Raw genomic sequence first — 18,080 nt, 5'->3', positions numbered from 1 at the left:
AACAATATTCCAGCTTTCATGGAGTTCACATTCTAGTGAAACTGAACAGAGAAACATTGGGAGCAAAGGAACTAGCAGAGGGAGGGTAAATTGGAAAGGAGAGGGAAACAAACCCCGGGTGGAAGTACAAAATGGTTGAACAAGAAGACGACAAGCCTCTTTCAGAACCTCCCCCTCCTCAGTCTATTAAAAGAAAGAGGCAGGACGTAGTTAGTAGCCTACAATAAACAATATGGATGGTGCGAAATAAATAGTCATTAAAGAATGATGTAGTGTCACCAGAAGATACCAGGAGGCTAACGGAGATAAGATTTGGACAGCAGTGGAGCGGGAAAATGTTTTGGAAGTGGCCACAAGAAGAAGGATTCCTAATCTGACTTCCAGGCTCTGTGGCATGTAGGGTCACCATCTGACGAGTCTCAGATATAGTGTTATTTACCAACCCAGTCTTCCATTAGGATAAAAAGATAAAGGCTTAATGAAGGTAGACAATATCAGGGATTTTGCAGACGATTCTAGAGGGCACAATGAAAGTCTTGAGAGACCCAGAATTGGCTCAGAATAAGGAACGTATGGAGATATATTGATAATGAATCCAGAAGTTTGGACTTATTGAGAGAGATGTGAAGAAAGATGGGATTAGTCCTGATCATCTGTTAGAGAATGATCTGAGAGCAGATCACCATCTTCTGGGTATGGCTTCATAGGCAAATTCACAGGCAATTTGCAGTGGTAAGACCAGCAGTGGAGGGGTGATCTTTCCAGGAGCTCACTGAGCTTTGGAAGAAGAGCAGAAGACAGGAGGGTAGTCTTAACAGAAATAACAGGAACTCAGTAAGCTCCTCTTACATCCTATAGCAGAACCTACTCCAAAAAGCTAGTAAGATAGACTTATTAGAGTATAAATAAATTGTTATGATATAAACACCACCATGTCCTGACAAAGAAAAATGTCCCAGTTAATCTTGCCATTATATCCAATTTAAACATTGGGTGTTCAAAGATTAACTGAATTATAGAAAGATGTTATAAAGATATCTCACATCAGTAATGTGCTTCATAACTTTAAAAATTATTTAATATAGTTTATCGTATGTGAGCCTTTTAACAATCCTAGGAAATATGCCAGGTGAGTATTTTTTTTAATTGTCATTAAAAGGATGAGGAAACTGAGGGTCAGAAAGGTTAATTGACCTACTCGAAGCCACACAGCTAGGTAATAAGAAAACTAGGACTAGAGGTTAAGTTTCCTGATTCTACATTGAGTGCTCTTTCCATTCTAGCACACTGACTACTTTCAAAACAGTCTCAACTCAGCTCAACCCCAGACCTTTTTGAGTCTTCCTGTACTGGTGGTTGTCCAGGAAAGCTTTGTACTTAACTTAGGCATCGTCATTTCCTTTGATATGGTATCATCAATGCAAACTATTTTTACCATTTTTTCCTCTGAATTTATAAAAACCAACTTTCCATTCCCAAATCATACTTAAAATTCATTGCCCTGTTAAGCAAATATATCTGCAAAAAAAGTAATGTTGTGAAGTAAGCCAACTAGATTCAAAAATTCCCTGCTTTCTATCTCTGTATATTTTTGTTGGCTCAGAACATAAGCTGTGGAAATTCCAAGACTTCCATATAAAAAATTCTAAAAGCTTGCTTGCAATTTGCCACTTTACAGTTAAAATGGGACTTAAGGAAAATATCCTGTTTTTGAAGCCTTTGAGCCAGGATAAATAGGATAAATACTAAGTGATTAAAATGCTCAAAAAGGAAATTGTAACACAAATATTGCGTTGTACTTATGGACATTCCAAATATTTTCTAAAATTTCCCCAGGCAGGCTTTTTAAAATCCGAAAGGAAAAAAATAAATAAGGAGAAGTGCTGGATGTTAACATGTAAGTAAACAGTTTAACTTAAAAGATTTCCCCATTTGATGGATTCAGGCATCTACCATTCAGGGGGTTCTATTGTCTTCTCCATCCCAGGGCTGAGGTCATCTTTGTTTGAGATGACAATGATCTTCACAAGCCAGCAGGTACCACACAGCCTGACATTTTCCATGTCTCTTGAGATTCTGCAGGAGAAATGACGGAGTCTAGTCATTTTGTTTTCTTCTCATTGTTGCTCTCAAGTGTTTTCAAATAATAACCACTGCACCTTGTTTTCAGATTAGCACACTGGACAAAAACTGAGAAATAATTGCACCATGTAACTCATCTTCCAAGCAGTGAATCCGGAAAGACTATCATGAGGTCTGCTGGGTAAAAGTCCAAGGCTGTAAATGAGATGTTTGTGTAGGAAGGGATCTGAAAAATCACTGTCTTGTAATTCCAACCACAGAGTGGTAATCAGGTGTGAGTACTATCATCAATAACTTTTTGTTAATAATAGTGTGCTGCCTTTTGGAAATGTTCTTGATCCAGAGAATTAGAAAATGAGGGCAATCAGGGGCGTCATATTGTAGGGTCTCATTGTAGTTTGTTTATTTCCTCTAGGTTTAATAGGCTAATAGTTTTTGAACTGGGCAATATCTTGGCCTTTGTCTATCCATCTAAAGCCCAGAGTAGTTATCATGTTCCCAAATATGTATGGTTATTTGCAGCAGAGAGGGCAGCTTGAGCCCAGGCCTCTGGCCTACAATTAGCTCACTGTTTTTCCAGTAAACTAATATACTCTCCTACTTTTTGAAAAATAAAAATATCATGGCAATTGAGGGAACCTACAAGAATTTTTTTTTCTAAAATCCTAATCTGTCCCCTCAGTTAAGTCAGTTTCCTAATACTTGTTTTACAAAGTCTGTAAAGACATTTGCTCAAGTAGCTGGTGACATTGCCATTGTCTGTAAGGCTGATTGTCCTAAAAGTCACAGGATGAGGTGGAGGGCAGTTGTAACAAAATTCACTGGGGGAGGGGATCAGTATCTTTTAGGTAAAAGCTTACAGTATGAAAATCTCCCACTTCCCAAACACACATACTTTAAGAAGAGTTTTCTTTCCCTTTTCCTAAGTTAAGATCAATCATTGCTCTTTACGAAACTAGTTTCCATCCTGATTAACAGGATGCATTCTCCCTTGTAAGCAGATTCTTTGATTCAGCATCAAAGTTCAAGGCCCTTGTAAAAGACAGAAATGTCTGTATGAGAATGTCTGGAATGACTGTATCAGGTTTTCTCAAGGACTGAGAACCTTGTGTTGATAAGAGAGATATCACAATGTGGCCCTGAGGCTGCTATGTGACAGTATCAGAAGAATGTAGGGGCTTTATCTGGAATAATATTAAAAACAAACAAAACAAAGCTTATATGATGATTATGTGAACTACAAAATATGATTGTTTTAGTTCTCATATTGGTTATCATTGAATGTTTATCGAATATTTTTGAGGAATCATTATAAGGTGTCTTTACCTCATTTTCTTTTCCCAGCAGATTGAAACCTACTCTCCCCTTTCAGAAGCCCATAGTCATTTTTTCAGGCCTCCATATGTCAGACATACAAGAGATATGAATTAAAAAGCTGTATTGCCCTTGCTTTAATGGACCTGCAGGAACCAGTCATCTTGGAAATATACCTGTATGTCCTGTGCTAATAGGTTGCAGGCATTTGCTTGCCCTTGATTTCAATGCAGAGGTACTATTTCTGGTTCACCAGAAAACAGTTAAATGAGGCCACCAGAGTTGCTGTCAGCCAACAGGGAACTTGTATCTCCCACATCATTAGCTTAGCTCTGTGAGTAGCTACTTATACCATATTCCCAAAGGCGAATGTTAGCCCCCAGGAAAACAATGCAATTAATCTAATCTCAACATTTCTCAATTTCAGGGTAAGACAAGTTTGTGGAGACAATGTGATGTGGTATAAACAGTGAAGAATGCTGTAGTCAGAAAAGTAAAGTATATACCTAGGGTCTACTCTGTATTCACTGAGTGACTGTAGTATCTCACTTAATGTGTGACCCTTCCGTTTATTCACTTACAAAATGTGATGATAATAATAATAATGACAGCCTCACATATATTTCATCTATAAGAAAAAGTGGAACAAAAACTAGAATAGTTTAAGTGTATTTTAACTTTATTAACAGCAATTTTGCTCTTGCACATAGAGTTCAAAGTAATTCTCACACAGTTCCATAAGGGTCATGTACATGTATATTGGTTTCAGCATCATTTGGGGTGCGATAACTGGAGGTAATATTGGTCAACATCACTGGGAGAGTATGTAGGGAAAATGTGCACATTGTGTAGTGGTTAGAGGCAAGGGATTATATGTACACACAGCAACATGCATGGCTCTTAAAATATGGTCCAAGGAAAATAAAATCTAAAATGGATTGAATTTTATGATGTGATATTATTTATGTAAATTTGATGTACACAAAAATATGCATTTTGCAAGAACACATGCAAACAAAAAGGTACACATTTAATATATTAGAAGAGCTACCTGTGGGGAGGTGGAATGGGAATGAGGAACGGAAATAAAATGGAAAAAAATTTTTACAAATAAAGCCTTGCTGCGGCCAGTGATGATAATGACCCACGAATTGAATCACGAACTCAATTATCTGCATCTGATGTCCAGAAGGGAAAAAGAATTATAATATAAAAATGTTTGTTAAGATAATTGTTTTCTCTCACTACAAATTCTTCAGCTTTCTTTCAATGTTTCATTGAAGGATTTTCCTTCCTCTGATCCTTAATCAACTATTGCATTTCCTCTAGTAGAGAAACTGATATGAATAATTAATTTGTGTTACGTTATTTCGAATCCCACTATCTTATTTCCTCTATCTTTTATTATTAGATAAAAAGAAATGCTTAAAATAAAAGACTCCCCCTTCATGGTGGAATTTAAGGCCAAGGCAAATGGGGGGACTATTTGGAAGAATGGAAGGTACTCCACTAGAGCCAGGTCAAAGGCATCAAAGGTCCTCAGAGGTCAGTGACAGTGGATTGAAAATTTGGATAGGATCTCATATAATTAAGGAAAGAAGATCACAAGTGGCTGATTATTTTCTTATCTTCTTGAAAATTGGCTCCTGATAGAGGGTTTCAGGCCAAGGTGATCCCCCTATCACTCTTCCTCAGTACATATGAGGAATATGTCTGCCCTAATCAGTAAATATGTCTAATCTATTTACTCCTATGAGATTTTATGAGTGGGACAATAAAAGGAGAGATGAGGTGGAGTTGGAAGACTTCAATAACCAGGATTTAGGGGGTACAAATAAAAGACTGATGAAGGTTAAATACAGCTTGCTGGATGTGTTGCCCAGTTAAGTCTTTCACACCAGGCACCACCACACTTTCTAGCCATCTGATTTCCCTCCACCAAGGAAGTTAAGGAGTTACAGTGAGAGGCTCTCTTTTATCTATTAACAAAAGGGCAGGTGTTTGTAGGTGTACTGCGGAGGAGGCTTCTGACGTTTCTTATTCCGTGGATTATGTTTAACTTGTCACCCTGTCATCTTTCTTTTGTGTTTCTTGTATTCCTCCTTTAACATTTTCACCTTGCTCTACTGACTTCTTTGTTCTATGAGATGTTAAGGGTCATCAAGACTTCATAGCCATTGTCAAGACACTGTCATTTTGTCAGGAAAATCAGTCACTGCAATTGTCCCCTTCTGCCTGGTAACTTCTTTGTGAAGTTAAAAGTGTTGCAGACACTCTTCTTGCTCTTTGCTCCATCTTGATTACTCAGTCTCTTGGATCATCTAAGGCAATGAAGGAGCCTAGTACCTGGCCTTCCCACAAAAGGTTTATCTTCCAAAAAGTAGTTTACAATAAGAGCATTAACAAACAACAGCATTATCAGCTCCTGTTCTTTTCCTTGTTTACTTGATTTAGGAGCATTTTTGCAGTAACTCTTTGGCCAGCATGCTCTGTTACTTCCAAGAAGGATCCACATATTGAATTGTCAGGTGCTGAAAAAATAAATAATTTTAAGACATCATTATTTCTTGTATACTGAATTAGTGATTGAATTTCTTTGCAGTTATTTGTAGGAGTTTAAGTTCTGTTGTGATGTCAAAATAAGAATAAAATTTAGTCTATATCATTTGCCTGGATTTCCTGTGTCTTAGTATCGCAGGGCCCTGGAAAATTTATCTCCGAGACACACAGAAAAGTGTTGGCCAGGCTGGATGCTGCCAGTTGTTCTAACCAGCCACAAGTCAGCATTACAAGAAGGATGTTTTTTCCTTTGAGTTTCTAAGGAAATATTGCTGCAATTTATAGAGTCAAAGGGAAGAATTGGGCAGACAAATTACATTCCAAAATAATAAGAGCAGCTGTTAGTCATGCTATAGCCTTCCCTTGTCACTTTTAGGAACAATTGAGACAACCAGGTTTCCTTAAATGCATTCCGATTCTGGTATATGGGCCAAAAATACACAATTCTTCAGAATCCTGTGTTTCAAAGTATAATCTTGCTTGACCCTTACCCCTCAGGCAGATTTGTCAGAAAAGAACTGTGCCAAACAAATCTCCAGAAAAGCTAAGCGACATAATCGAAAATGTCATTCATTTCTTTCATTATTTTCTTTATATCACTTTAATAATTTCTTACAATGAAATACAAAATCTACATTTACAATGTTATTACAACTGACATGACAGCAAGTATGTGGGCTGCTAGCTTTTTCCCACCAACTTTAATGTCACCGCACATGTGATGGGGAAGAAGATGGAGCCGAAACATCAGCATAAGAATTAGAGGCCCCAGTTGAAAGGCAGTTGTGTAGCAGCTAATGGAGATGACTGGGGTTGGGTAAGATTGGGAAAGCACCAATAAAGAGTAGAAGAAAGCTGGATAATATGGCCGAGAAATAAGCAGAGGAAGAAATTTGCAGTTATTTTCTTTTCCTCTTTATTGCATTAGAAGAGCTTTCCCTATTTGCCGTGTTACCACTGCAGGACAGAAAAACCAGGCCAAGGCAGTGCTAGCCAGAAACAACAGGATAACAGTGTGCTAGTGCCAGAACCCAGCTGGGGGAGAAGCAGGTAATAACAGATGCAGGCAGAACAGCAGCCCCCTAAGAGTTCCTTCTTCCCCTTCCCTCTCCTCTCCTTTTATATGCTGAGGTTGTGGTGGCTTTGTAATATGTCAACTTGGCTAGGCTGAGCTGAATTTCCAAGGATTCCTTTCCTTGTATTTCTAGTTAGGGTTAAAGACTTTTTTTGTGCAATATTGGAGAATGAAAGTGAAGTAGCACTCAGGCTGGTTTTGTTTGTTTGTTTGTTTGTTTGCTTGCTTGCTTGCTTTTTGAGACAGAGTCTCTCTCTGTCAGCCAGGCTGGAGTGCAGTGGCATGACCTCGGCTCACTGCAACCTCTGCCTCCTGGGTTCATGCAATTCTCCTGCCTCAGCCTCTTGAGTAACTGGGATTACAGGTGTGCGCCACCACACCCAGCTAATTTTTGTGTTTTTAGTAGAGACAGGGTTTCACCATGTTGGCCAGGCTGATCTCAAACTCCTGACCTCCTCGTGATCTGCCTGCCTCAGCCTCCCAAAGTGCTGGGATTAAAGGTGTGAGCCACAGTGCCCGGTTTCTTTTTGTTCTGTGTGTGTTTGTATTTAATCCCCAGTAACACAGGGCATGATAACCAGGAACTTCTGAAACTCATGCACATTGTCATTTTGCTGGCTTATTTCATGGAGATGCAAAAGGTCCAACTTGACCTGCACCCTCCTTCACCTTCTCTGACTCATGGTCCAAATGCGTTTAGCTCCATGATGAAGGGTTTCAGCTTCTTCCTACTTCAAGGTTGAAGGCAGTGAGAACTGGTGTGAGTTCCAGTCCATCACTGTGGGTTACCACTCATGCTCATGTGTTCTAGTTTTTCCTCGCTCTCCCTAACTTTACATCCATTTTTCCTTTCTGATTGCCTTCCCTGCAAACTTCAAACTCAGGCATCAGACAGGAAGACAGCTGCCCTACAGAGACTGTTTAACCAGCTCATTCAACGTGTAGGTTTGAATCCCCTAACAAATCTCTTAATATAAAGAAATAGATGGATTTTTCTTCTAGTGATTCTTCTTAAACTGATACAGAGATCTAACATTTCACTAAGCGAAAGAAAAAGCTTTTAGAGAGCACAGTCCCCTAGAGGAAGACAGGACAGCATTTGCTGGAGAACAAGATAAACTGTTTTGGGGGAAAGAGGGATAGCAAAGAAGTAATAGAAGCATCTCAATTCCCCTCTTGTGCTGACTTCCTGACCCTACCCCTATTCCTTAAACTTACCAAAAAGTTCAGAGTTACAGCCTGGAATTTAACCCCTTCTTAAAAGTTAACTGATACATGCAGGTGAATATGAGCTCATAGGCAAACTAATAAGACATCTGACTTCCATACCAGCATTAAAAAACAAACTGGAAAAGCTATACCTGGAAAATCTGGCCTAATAAACCAGAGAGAAAGTGATTTAAAATGATTAACACTGGGCAAAATATAATGAACAATGGTTTTCAAGACTTTGGAATCAGATAATGAGTGGCAGTGACTACTGAGATACAGAATGCAAACATAGTAAACCCTGAGATTTATAACCATCAAAAAGATGAGGGAGATATTGGTGACGTAAAGGGAGAACAAGCAATTCCATAGCATAACCAAGTAGAAATAATGTAGTGGAAACATAAAATTTGAAATAAAGAACCCAGTACATTCTATGACAGAAGAATAGATATGGCTAAAGAACAATTAGTGAGCTGGAAGATGAGAGTAAAATCTCTCTGTGAAGGCACCAGAAAGATAAAGTTGTGGAAAATGTAAAATGTAAGAGATGTGAAGGATAAAATCAGAAGAAAAACATTCATATGGGAGTCACAATAAAAAATAAAAGTAAAGAAAATTTTGGAGGAATAAAAGACCAAGAAGTTCCAAGAATTAGAGAAAGATGTAAGACCTTGGAATTAAAGGCTCATAAAGTACAAAAATAGTACAAATAAGAAAAATCCTTTACTTATATATCCTATGATAAAATACTTTTAAAACTAAAATGCAAAAAAAAAATCATTTAATGTTATCGGGATAAACAACAGATCACCTCTAAAGAAACAGGTATTAAACCAATATCAAATTTTACAACAGCAACTTGGACACAAGAAAACAATAGATATTGATTTGAAGGAAAAGATATTTTACTGCCAACTAAGCTATAATTTAAATGTGATAGAAAAATAAATGCATTTTAGGTGTAAAATATCTCAGAAGTTGGCTTCACAAGAATCTCTTTAAAAAACTCTTGGAGAAAGTGCTCTACCAAGAAGAGCAAGAAATCCAGAGGATGCTATTAAATACATGGTGTTTCAGGTATCTAGGACTGTATAATAAATCACCCCAAAATGTAGTGGCTTAAAATAACCACAGCATTTATTTTGCCCACTAATCTGCAAATGAGGCAGGGTTAAGAGGACGACTCATCTCTGCTCCCCTTCGCAGTGTGGCTCAAAGGCTTGTATTTAGAATGAACTGAAAGCCCATTTCCTCATGGGCTGAGAAGACTCCATCAGCTGGTGATTGGAAGAGCCAGGGTTCCCTAAGTATCCCAAATATACTCTCCATAGGATCTCTACAACCCAGCAACTTTAAGCTAGCCGAACGTGTAACATATTGACTTAGTACTGCCAAGGCACATGCTTCAAGGCAGAAAGCCAGGCATACGTTGTACTGCTTTTTAATCTATCTTACTCTGTCTTGACTGTTAAGAACTATGAAGGATATGAGATTTTACCCTACTTGCAAGCTAACATGTTAGCCTGTCACAGGTTCATGGATGTTAGCAGAAAACTCAAGGTTCCTGGGTCAGAGACAAAGGATAGTTTATGATTCACAGAAACAGCCACAGATGAGAAATAATTATTTTATTCCATCAATTCCTTGAGCCCAAATTCTGACAGGGTGATGCAAACAGGACCAAGTGATAACTTCCTACACACTGGGTTGCATTATAGGAGAGGCGCGTTGAGCTTAGGAAGCCCAAATATATGATACTGGAAAGTAAGCATGCTTGTCCTTTGCTCTGGAGAGAGACACTATATTTTCCAATCTTTAAGCAAGCCTGCCCTTTGTTACAGAGGGAAACACTATTGTATCTTTTAAGTCATTGGTTATACAAATATTCTTCAAAAGATAGTCCAAAACAACGGTGTTCAGTTTCTCTGCTTGAAAGACATACTGAAATGCAATGAAACCCATGGATATTTAACTCTCAAGAGTCTCATTTCTACTGCATTCTGTCAGAAGTATAAATATTTATTCTTTTAGAAAGGTTGAGTCATTGGGACTTCTATTTCTAACCAAGATGAAGTAACAAGGGCCAGATTTAACTTCCTGTCTTGAGACCAAAATCTGGAAAAAAAAGTGTATGAAACAATGGTTTTCAGGACATTGGAATCAGATAATGAGTGACAGTGATCCCTAAGATATGGGAAACAAACCTGGTAAACCCTGAGATTGCCCCAGCTGCTGAGTTGAAAGAGTTTTCAGGCCTTGGCACAGGGAAAGGGAACCCAAGCAGAGCTCAGAAAATTTCCTAGACAGAGGTGAGAGTCCTGGGAGAGCAAGGTGTTTAGAGTTCCTATAGCAGAGTACCAGAGGAGAGAGCTCTGTCCAAAGAAAGAACCTAGATGTCTGAAGAGGGACCCTATTGAGTATTCATCACAGTACTGATCAGTACACGTGTGTGAGTAAGTTACCTGAGGTGAGAAAGGAAGCACCTGAAAAAATTAAAGAGACCAATAACCAGAGATTACACAAATATGGGATGAGTGCTGCCATGCTGAAAAGTTTTTTACTTAATGGGACATTAGGAAGAGTATTCAGACATGTCTTGCCTTAGTAGTGATGAGTAATTACTCTAGAAAAGATGCTCTGGTCCTGCCTAGCAAATGTTAAAAAAATTGTTATAATCATATTCTGTATGTTTAAAAGTTAGGAAAAATAATGGACCTGTTAAATAAAGACCTGGAAGGGATAAAAATGAACCAAAAGAAACTTCTAGAGAGAAAAATTATAATGTGTGGGATGCAAAATGCACTGGATGGAATTAATGACAAATTAGACAATGCAGAAGAAAAGGTTAGTAGATTTGAAGACAAATAAGTAGAAGTTTTCCAAAGAGAAACAGGGGGCAGAGAGGACTAAAAAATGAGAATGAAGAACTAGTAGGTAGTAAGGATAACTTCAAGCAGCCTAGTATATACATGTTAATGGAATACCTCTCCTTTGGAAAAGGAGACAGAAGGATGCAACATAAAAAATATTTGAAAAAAATGGCTAATTTATTCCAAATTTGATTAAAACTGTAAAAATCACAGATCCAAAGTTAATTTCTTAATTTTAATAAATGATGTACAGTTATATAATATGTTAACATATGGGAAACTGAAGGGTATATTAAAACTCTGTATTATTTTTGCAAGTCTTTTGTAGAATTGCTATAGAAAAAAAAGAAAAATTGCTGTAGAATATAGAAAAAAGACCAAAACATATGCCACCATTGAGGAATCTATTTTAAATATAAACCCAAAAATAAGTGAAGAGTAAAATAATACAAAAAAGGCAATTGCAACAAAAATAAAAATTGACGAGTGGGACCTAATTAAACTAAATATCTTTTTTGTTTGTTTTTTGTTTTTTAAGATGGGCTTTCACCATGTTGTCCAGGCTGGTCTCGAACTCCTGGGGTCAAATGATCCCCCTGCCTCTGCCTCCACCTCCCAAAGGGCTGGAATTACAGGCATGAGCCACCACACCCAGCATAATTAAATTAAAGATCTTTTGTGCAGTGAAATAAACTATCAATAGACTAAACAAACAGCCTATAGGATGGGAGAAAATATTCACAAACTATATATCCAACAAAGGTCAAATATCCAGAATCTACAAGAAACTTAATTCAACAAGCAAAAAACAAAAAATTCCATTAGAAGTGGGCAAAGGACATGAACAGACACCTCAAAAGAAGACATACAAGTGACCAAAAAAACCTGAAAAAATGCCCATCATCACTGATCATCAGAGAAATGCATATCAAAAGCACAATGAAATATCATCTTACACCAGTCAGAATGGCTATTATTAAAAAGTCAAAAAATAACTGATGCTGATGAGGCTGTGGAGAAAAAAGAATGTTTGTACACTGTTGATGGAAAGGCAAATTAGTTCAGCCATTGTGGAAAGCAGTTTGGAGATTTCTCAAGGAACTGAAAAAAGAACTACCATTTGACCCAGCAATCCCATTACTGGGTATATATCCAAAAGAAAATCATTCTACCATAAAGACACACGCTCTCATATGTTCATCCTTACACCATAACAAAGACATGGAACCAACCTAGGTACCCGTCAATGGTGGATTGATTTTTTTAAAATGTGATACATAGACACTAAAGAATATTACACAGCCATAAAAAAGAATGAAATCATGTCCTTTGCAACAACATGGATACTGCTGGAGGCCATTATCCTAAATTAATGAAGGAACAGAAAACCAAATAGCACATGTTCTCGCATGTAAGCGTAAGTACCCAATGGGTACTTGTGAACATAAAGATGGCAACAGTAGACACTGAGGACTACTAGAGTGAAGAGGGAAGGAGGGTGGCAAGGGTTGAAAAACTAACTGTTGGGTACTATGCTTACTGTCTGGTTGATGGAATCATTTGTATCTCAAACCTCTACATCATGGAATTTGCTGCACATGTAACCCCTGAATCTAAAATAAAAGTTGAAATTATTTTATAAAAGGATACAGAAACAATACTATGTGAACATAAATAGAAATTAAGAGTAGTTATACTAAATTAGTCAAAGTAGGTTTCAGAGAAAAGAATATTACAATGAGTAAAGAAATTCATTCCTAATGATAAAAAAGCAATTCATGAAGAGAACATAACATTCCTAAATGTCTATGCACATAATAACAGAGCTTCAAAATTACATGTAGCAAAATCTGTTAGAACTGCAAGGGAGAAACTATATCCAAGCATTTGATAATATTCAATATCCCTTCATGATTTAAAAAAAACCGTCAAAAAACTTGGTATACAAGGAACACACCTCAACACAATAAATGCCATATACATCAGACCCACAGCTAGTATCATACTGAATGGGGAACAACTGATAGCCTTCCCTCTGAGATCCAGAACATGACAGGAATACCCACTTTCACCACTGTTATTCAACATAGTACTGGAAGTCCTAGCTAAAGCAATTAGACAAGAGAAAAAAAATAAAGGGCATCCAAATTGGAAAGGAAAAAAGTTATCCTTGTTTGAAGATGATATGATCTTATATTTGGAAAAACCTAAACCTAAAGACTCCACCAAAAAAATCTACGAGACCTGATGAATTTGGTAAAGTTGCAGCATACAAAATCAACATATAAAAATCAGTAGCATGTCTATATGCCAAAAGTAAACAATCTGAAAAAGAAATTAAGAAAATAATCTCATTTACAATAGTTAGAACTATAATAAAATACCTAGGAATCAACTTAACCAAAGTAGTGAAATATCTCTACAGTGAAAACTATAATACACTGCTGCAAGAAATTGAAGAGGACACAAAAAAATGGAAAGATATTCCATGTTCAGGAATTGGAAGAATAAATATTGTTAAAATGTTCATACTACCTAAAGCAATCTACAGATTCAATTCAATCCCTATCAAAATACCAAAGACATTCTTCACAGAAGTAGAAAAAAAATCCTAAGATTTATATGGAAGCAAAAAAGGCACACAATAGCCAAATCTGTCCTAACCACAATTAACAAAACTGGAGGCATCACATTACCTGACTTCAAATTATACTACAAAGCTATAGCAACCAAAATAGCATGGTAGTGGCATAAAAACAGACAAATACACCAATGGAACAGAATAGACAACCCAGAAAAAAATCTACACATCCACAGTGAACTCATTTTTGACAAAGGTGCCGAAAACATATTTTGGGGAAAGGACAGTGTCTTCAATAAATGGTGCTGGGAAAACTGTATGTATATTCGTAAGCAGAAGAATGAAATTACACCCTTATCTTTCACCATATATAAAAATCAAATAAAAACAGAAGTCTTAAATCTAAGACCTCAAACTATGAAACTGCTAAAAGAAAACACTAGGGAAACTCTTTAGGACATTGGATGTGCAAAGATTTCTTGAGTAATACCCCACAAGCACAGACAATGAAAGGAAAAATGGACAAATGGAATCACATCAAGTTAAAAATCTTCTGTATAGGAAAGGAATCAATTAACAAAGTGAAGAAACAACCCACAGAATAGGAGAAAACATTTGCAAACTACCCATCTGACAAGGGACTAATAACCACAATATATAAGGAGCTCAAACAACTCTATAGGGAAAGAAATCTAATAATCTGATTTAAAAATAGATAAAAATCTGAATAGATGTTTCTCAAAAGAAGACATACAAATGGCAAACAAGCATATGAAAAGGTGCTCAATGTCATTGATAATCAGATAAATGCAAATCAAAACTACAGTGAGATATCAATTCACCTCCGTTAAAATGGCTTTTATCCAAAAGACAGGGAATAACAAATGATGAAGAGGATGTGAAGAAAGGAGAACCCTGTTATATTGTTGGTGTGGTGAAGGTCTTAGATATTAAATTTGGCAATAAAAAAGGAGAAGAAGGATTCCCTTCCAAGATGGCAGGTAGGAGACATGGCTACCATGCATCTTCCACTTAGACAGACCGAACAGCATGAGGAGATTCACACTGTGAACTTTTGCTCCAAGAACCACTGCAGAAATGTACCAGGAAAACAAAAGAATTCACAGATCCTTTGAAAGAAGTGTCATGCCACTGCAAACTCCATGAGACAGATGAAAAACTGTGAGTTCACAGTGTAAGGTGGGGGAGAACCTGCCTCAGAACACACATCCCCACTAGGGAATGTGAAAATCCAGTTCACGGGAGAAGGCTTTAGCCTTACCTAGAGCTTGAATGGATTTAGGGGGTGGTGTGAAATATAAAAGTAAAAGCAGCAGCAGGAAGAGTCTCTGTAATTGAGAGCTCCCCTAGCCACCCTCATCAAGGCTGGGACCTCGGCCCACCTTTGGATATTACATCTACCCACCTGCCTTAGCCACAACCAATGCCTACCCGGAGATACCTCCCCTATTGGCCTGAAGCCTGAATCATCAACTTTGTAAATAAAATACTGGGAGAGAATCACACAAATAAAGTGTACACCACAAGAGAATGAGATAAGCTTCAAGAGATCTCTGCCATTCCAACTCTATAGGAGACAATGAACTCACCCACATATCAAGAACATAACTACTACAACCAGCATCAGGGAAAGCCAGTGCACAAAGACTGTCTATAACTAAGAAACTCATACAAAGTCTTAACCCCTATAAGCACCAAGAATCAAATTAGGCTAAAATAAACATTAAAGTCCAGTCCTTAAGGAGGGGGCAAAGAAACTTAAATTTAAAAAAGCACAGTCAAATCAAAAATAAATTCAAGAATAATCTGAAGAAATAGTCTACCCAAATGACAAGGAACCAGAAAAGTAATTCTGTTAATATAACAAAACAGGATTCTATAATGCCTGTAAAATGCCACACTAACTCCCCAGCAATGGATCCAACCAAAGGAGAAATCTCTGAATTGCCAGATAAAGAATTCAGAAGGTTGATCATTAAGCTACTCAAGAAGATACCAGAAAAAGATGAAAACCAACTTAAAGAAATTACAAAAACAATACAGGATATGGATGAAAAATTTCCAGAGAAATAGATATTATAAAAAAAAACTTCTGGAAATGAAAGACACACTAAGGAAATAAAAATGCAGTGAAAAATTTTAACAATAGACTAGAACAAGTAGAAGAAAGAACATCAGAGCTCAAAGACAAGGCTTTTGAATTAACCCAAACAGAGAAAGACAAAGAACAAAGAATTTTAAAAAATGAACAAAGTATCCAAAAAATTAGGGATTATGTTAAATGGCCAAACCTAGTGTTCCTGAGGAAGAAGAGAAATCTAAAAGTTTGGAAAATTTATTTGAGAGAATGATTGAGATGAACTTTCCTGGCCTTGCTAGAGATCTAGACATCCAAATACAAGAAGCTCAAAAAACTCCTGATAAATCCGTCATAAAAATGGTTATTACCTAGGCACATAGTTATCAGGTTAACTAAAGTCAAGATGAAGAAAATAATCTTAAGAGCTGTGAGACAAAAGCATCAAGTAACCCATAAAAGAAAATCTATCAGATTAACAGCTGATTTCTCAGCAGAAATTTTACCAACCAGAGGAATCAGAGTCCTATCTCTAGCCTCTTAAACAAAATAATTGTCAGCTAAGAATTTTATATTCAGCAAAACTAAGCTTCATAAATGAAGAAGGGATAAAGACTTTGTTAGATAAACAAATGCTGAGAAAATTTGCCACTACCAAACCAACGCTATGGGAAATACTACAATAAGTTCTAAATCTTGGAGCAAAACTTCAAAATACACCAAAATAGAACCTCCTTAAGCACAAATCTCACAGGCCTATAAAATACTAATACAATGGAAAAAATAAGGTATTTAGTCAACAACTAACATGATGAATAGAACAATACCTCAAATCTCAATACTAACCTAAATGCTCCACTTAAAAGATACAGAATGGCAGAATGAATAAAAATCCACCAACCAAGTATTTGCTGTCTTCAAAAAACTCACCTAATACATGGCTCACATAAACTTAAGGTAAAGGTGTGGACAAATACTCTATGTGAATGGAAACCAAAAGCAAGTAGGAGTAGCTATTCTATTATATCAAACAAAACAGACTTCAAAACAACAGCAGCAAAAAAAAAAAAAAGACAAAGAAGGACATTATACAATGATAAAAGGAGTAGTCCCACAGGAAGATATCACAATCCTAAATATATACGCATCTAACACTGGAGCTCCCAAATTTATAAAACTAGACCTAAGAAATTAGATAGACACCAATACAATAATAGTGGGAGACTTCAATACTCCACTGACAGCACTAGATAGGTCATCAAGACAGAAAGTCAACAAAGAAACAATGGACTTAAACTATACCCTAGAACAAATGTACTCCACGGATATTTACAGAACATTCCAGCCAACAACTCCAGAATATACATTCTTCTCGTCAGCACATGGAATATTCTTCTCCAAGATAGACCATATAATAGGTCACAAGACAAGTCTCAATACATTTAAGAAAATCAAAATTATATCAGTTATCTTCTCAAACCACAGTAGAATAAAACTTGAAATGAACTCCAAAGGGAACCCTCAAAACTATACAAATACATGGAAATTAAATAATCTGCTCTTGAATGATCTTTTGGATTAACAGTGAAATCAAGATGGAAATTTTAAAATTCTTTGAATGGAACAATGATAGTGACACCAACTAATCAAAGCCTCTGGGATACAGCAAAAGCAGTGCTAAGAGGAAAGTTCATAGCATTAAATGCATACATCAAAAAGTCTGAAAGAATACAAATGGAAAACCTAATGTCACACCTCAAGGAACTAGAGAAACAAGAACAAACCAAACCAAAATCCAGCAGAAGAAAAGACATAAAAAAGATCAGACCAGTAAAGAGAATTGGGATTATGGAGGGTAGGAGACAGAACCAGCTTGCAGCTCTGACTTGGATGGACAGAGCAGCATGTGAAAGTTTGCATCATGAATTTTAGCTCCAGATCAACTGCAAGAACAAACCAGGAACCCCAAGAGGACCCACAGACCCTCTTAAGGAAGTAGACTGCTCCTGCAGGAACTGGGAGATACCCCAAATACTATGAGTGCCCCACCTGCAGAAGTGGAAAAGGAAGATCCTCCTCTCCCAAACACACAACCTCACTGGGGAAACTGAAAATCTGTTTGCAGGACAAGTTTCCGACCTTACCTGGAACTGAGTCAATTTAGAGAGCTGAGTGAAATACAGGGATAGAGGAAGCAGCAGGAAAGGCCCTGGGAGTTCACTGGGTCCCCAAGCTGGCCATTCCTGCCTGGTACCACACGGATTCATTGGGAGGGTGGTCAGAGGAGCA

General features: G+C 37.2%; 1 long non-coding RNA gene across 1 annotated transcript in view; it reads right to left on the bottom strand.

Annotated features, from left to right (window-relative positions):
• Nucleotides 1-4,054: 4,054 nt before the first annotated feature.
• Nucleotides 4,055-18,080, bottom strand: part of LOC124904231 (uncharacterized) — a 49,913-nt gene continuing 35,887 nt past the window's right edge. The window contains exon 2 of the long non-coding RNA XR_007066256.1: nt 4,055-5,927. This is a non-coding gene — a long non-coding RNA (uncharacterized LOC124904231). The remainder of the gene's footprint in view (nt 5,928-18,080) is intronic.

The sequence above is a fragment of the Homo sapiens genome, chromosome 1 (genome assembly GCF_000001405.40).
Source record: "Homo sapiens chromosome 1, GRCh38.p14 Primary Assembly".
Lineage (NCBI taxonomy): Eukaryota > Metazoa > Chordata > Mammalia > Primates > Hominidae > Homo > Homo sapiens.
The sequence above is the reverse complement of the archived record's forward strand: the minus strand, read 5'-3'. Positions and strand labels throughout refer to the sequence as shown.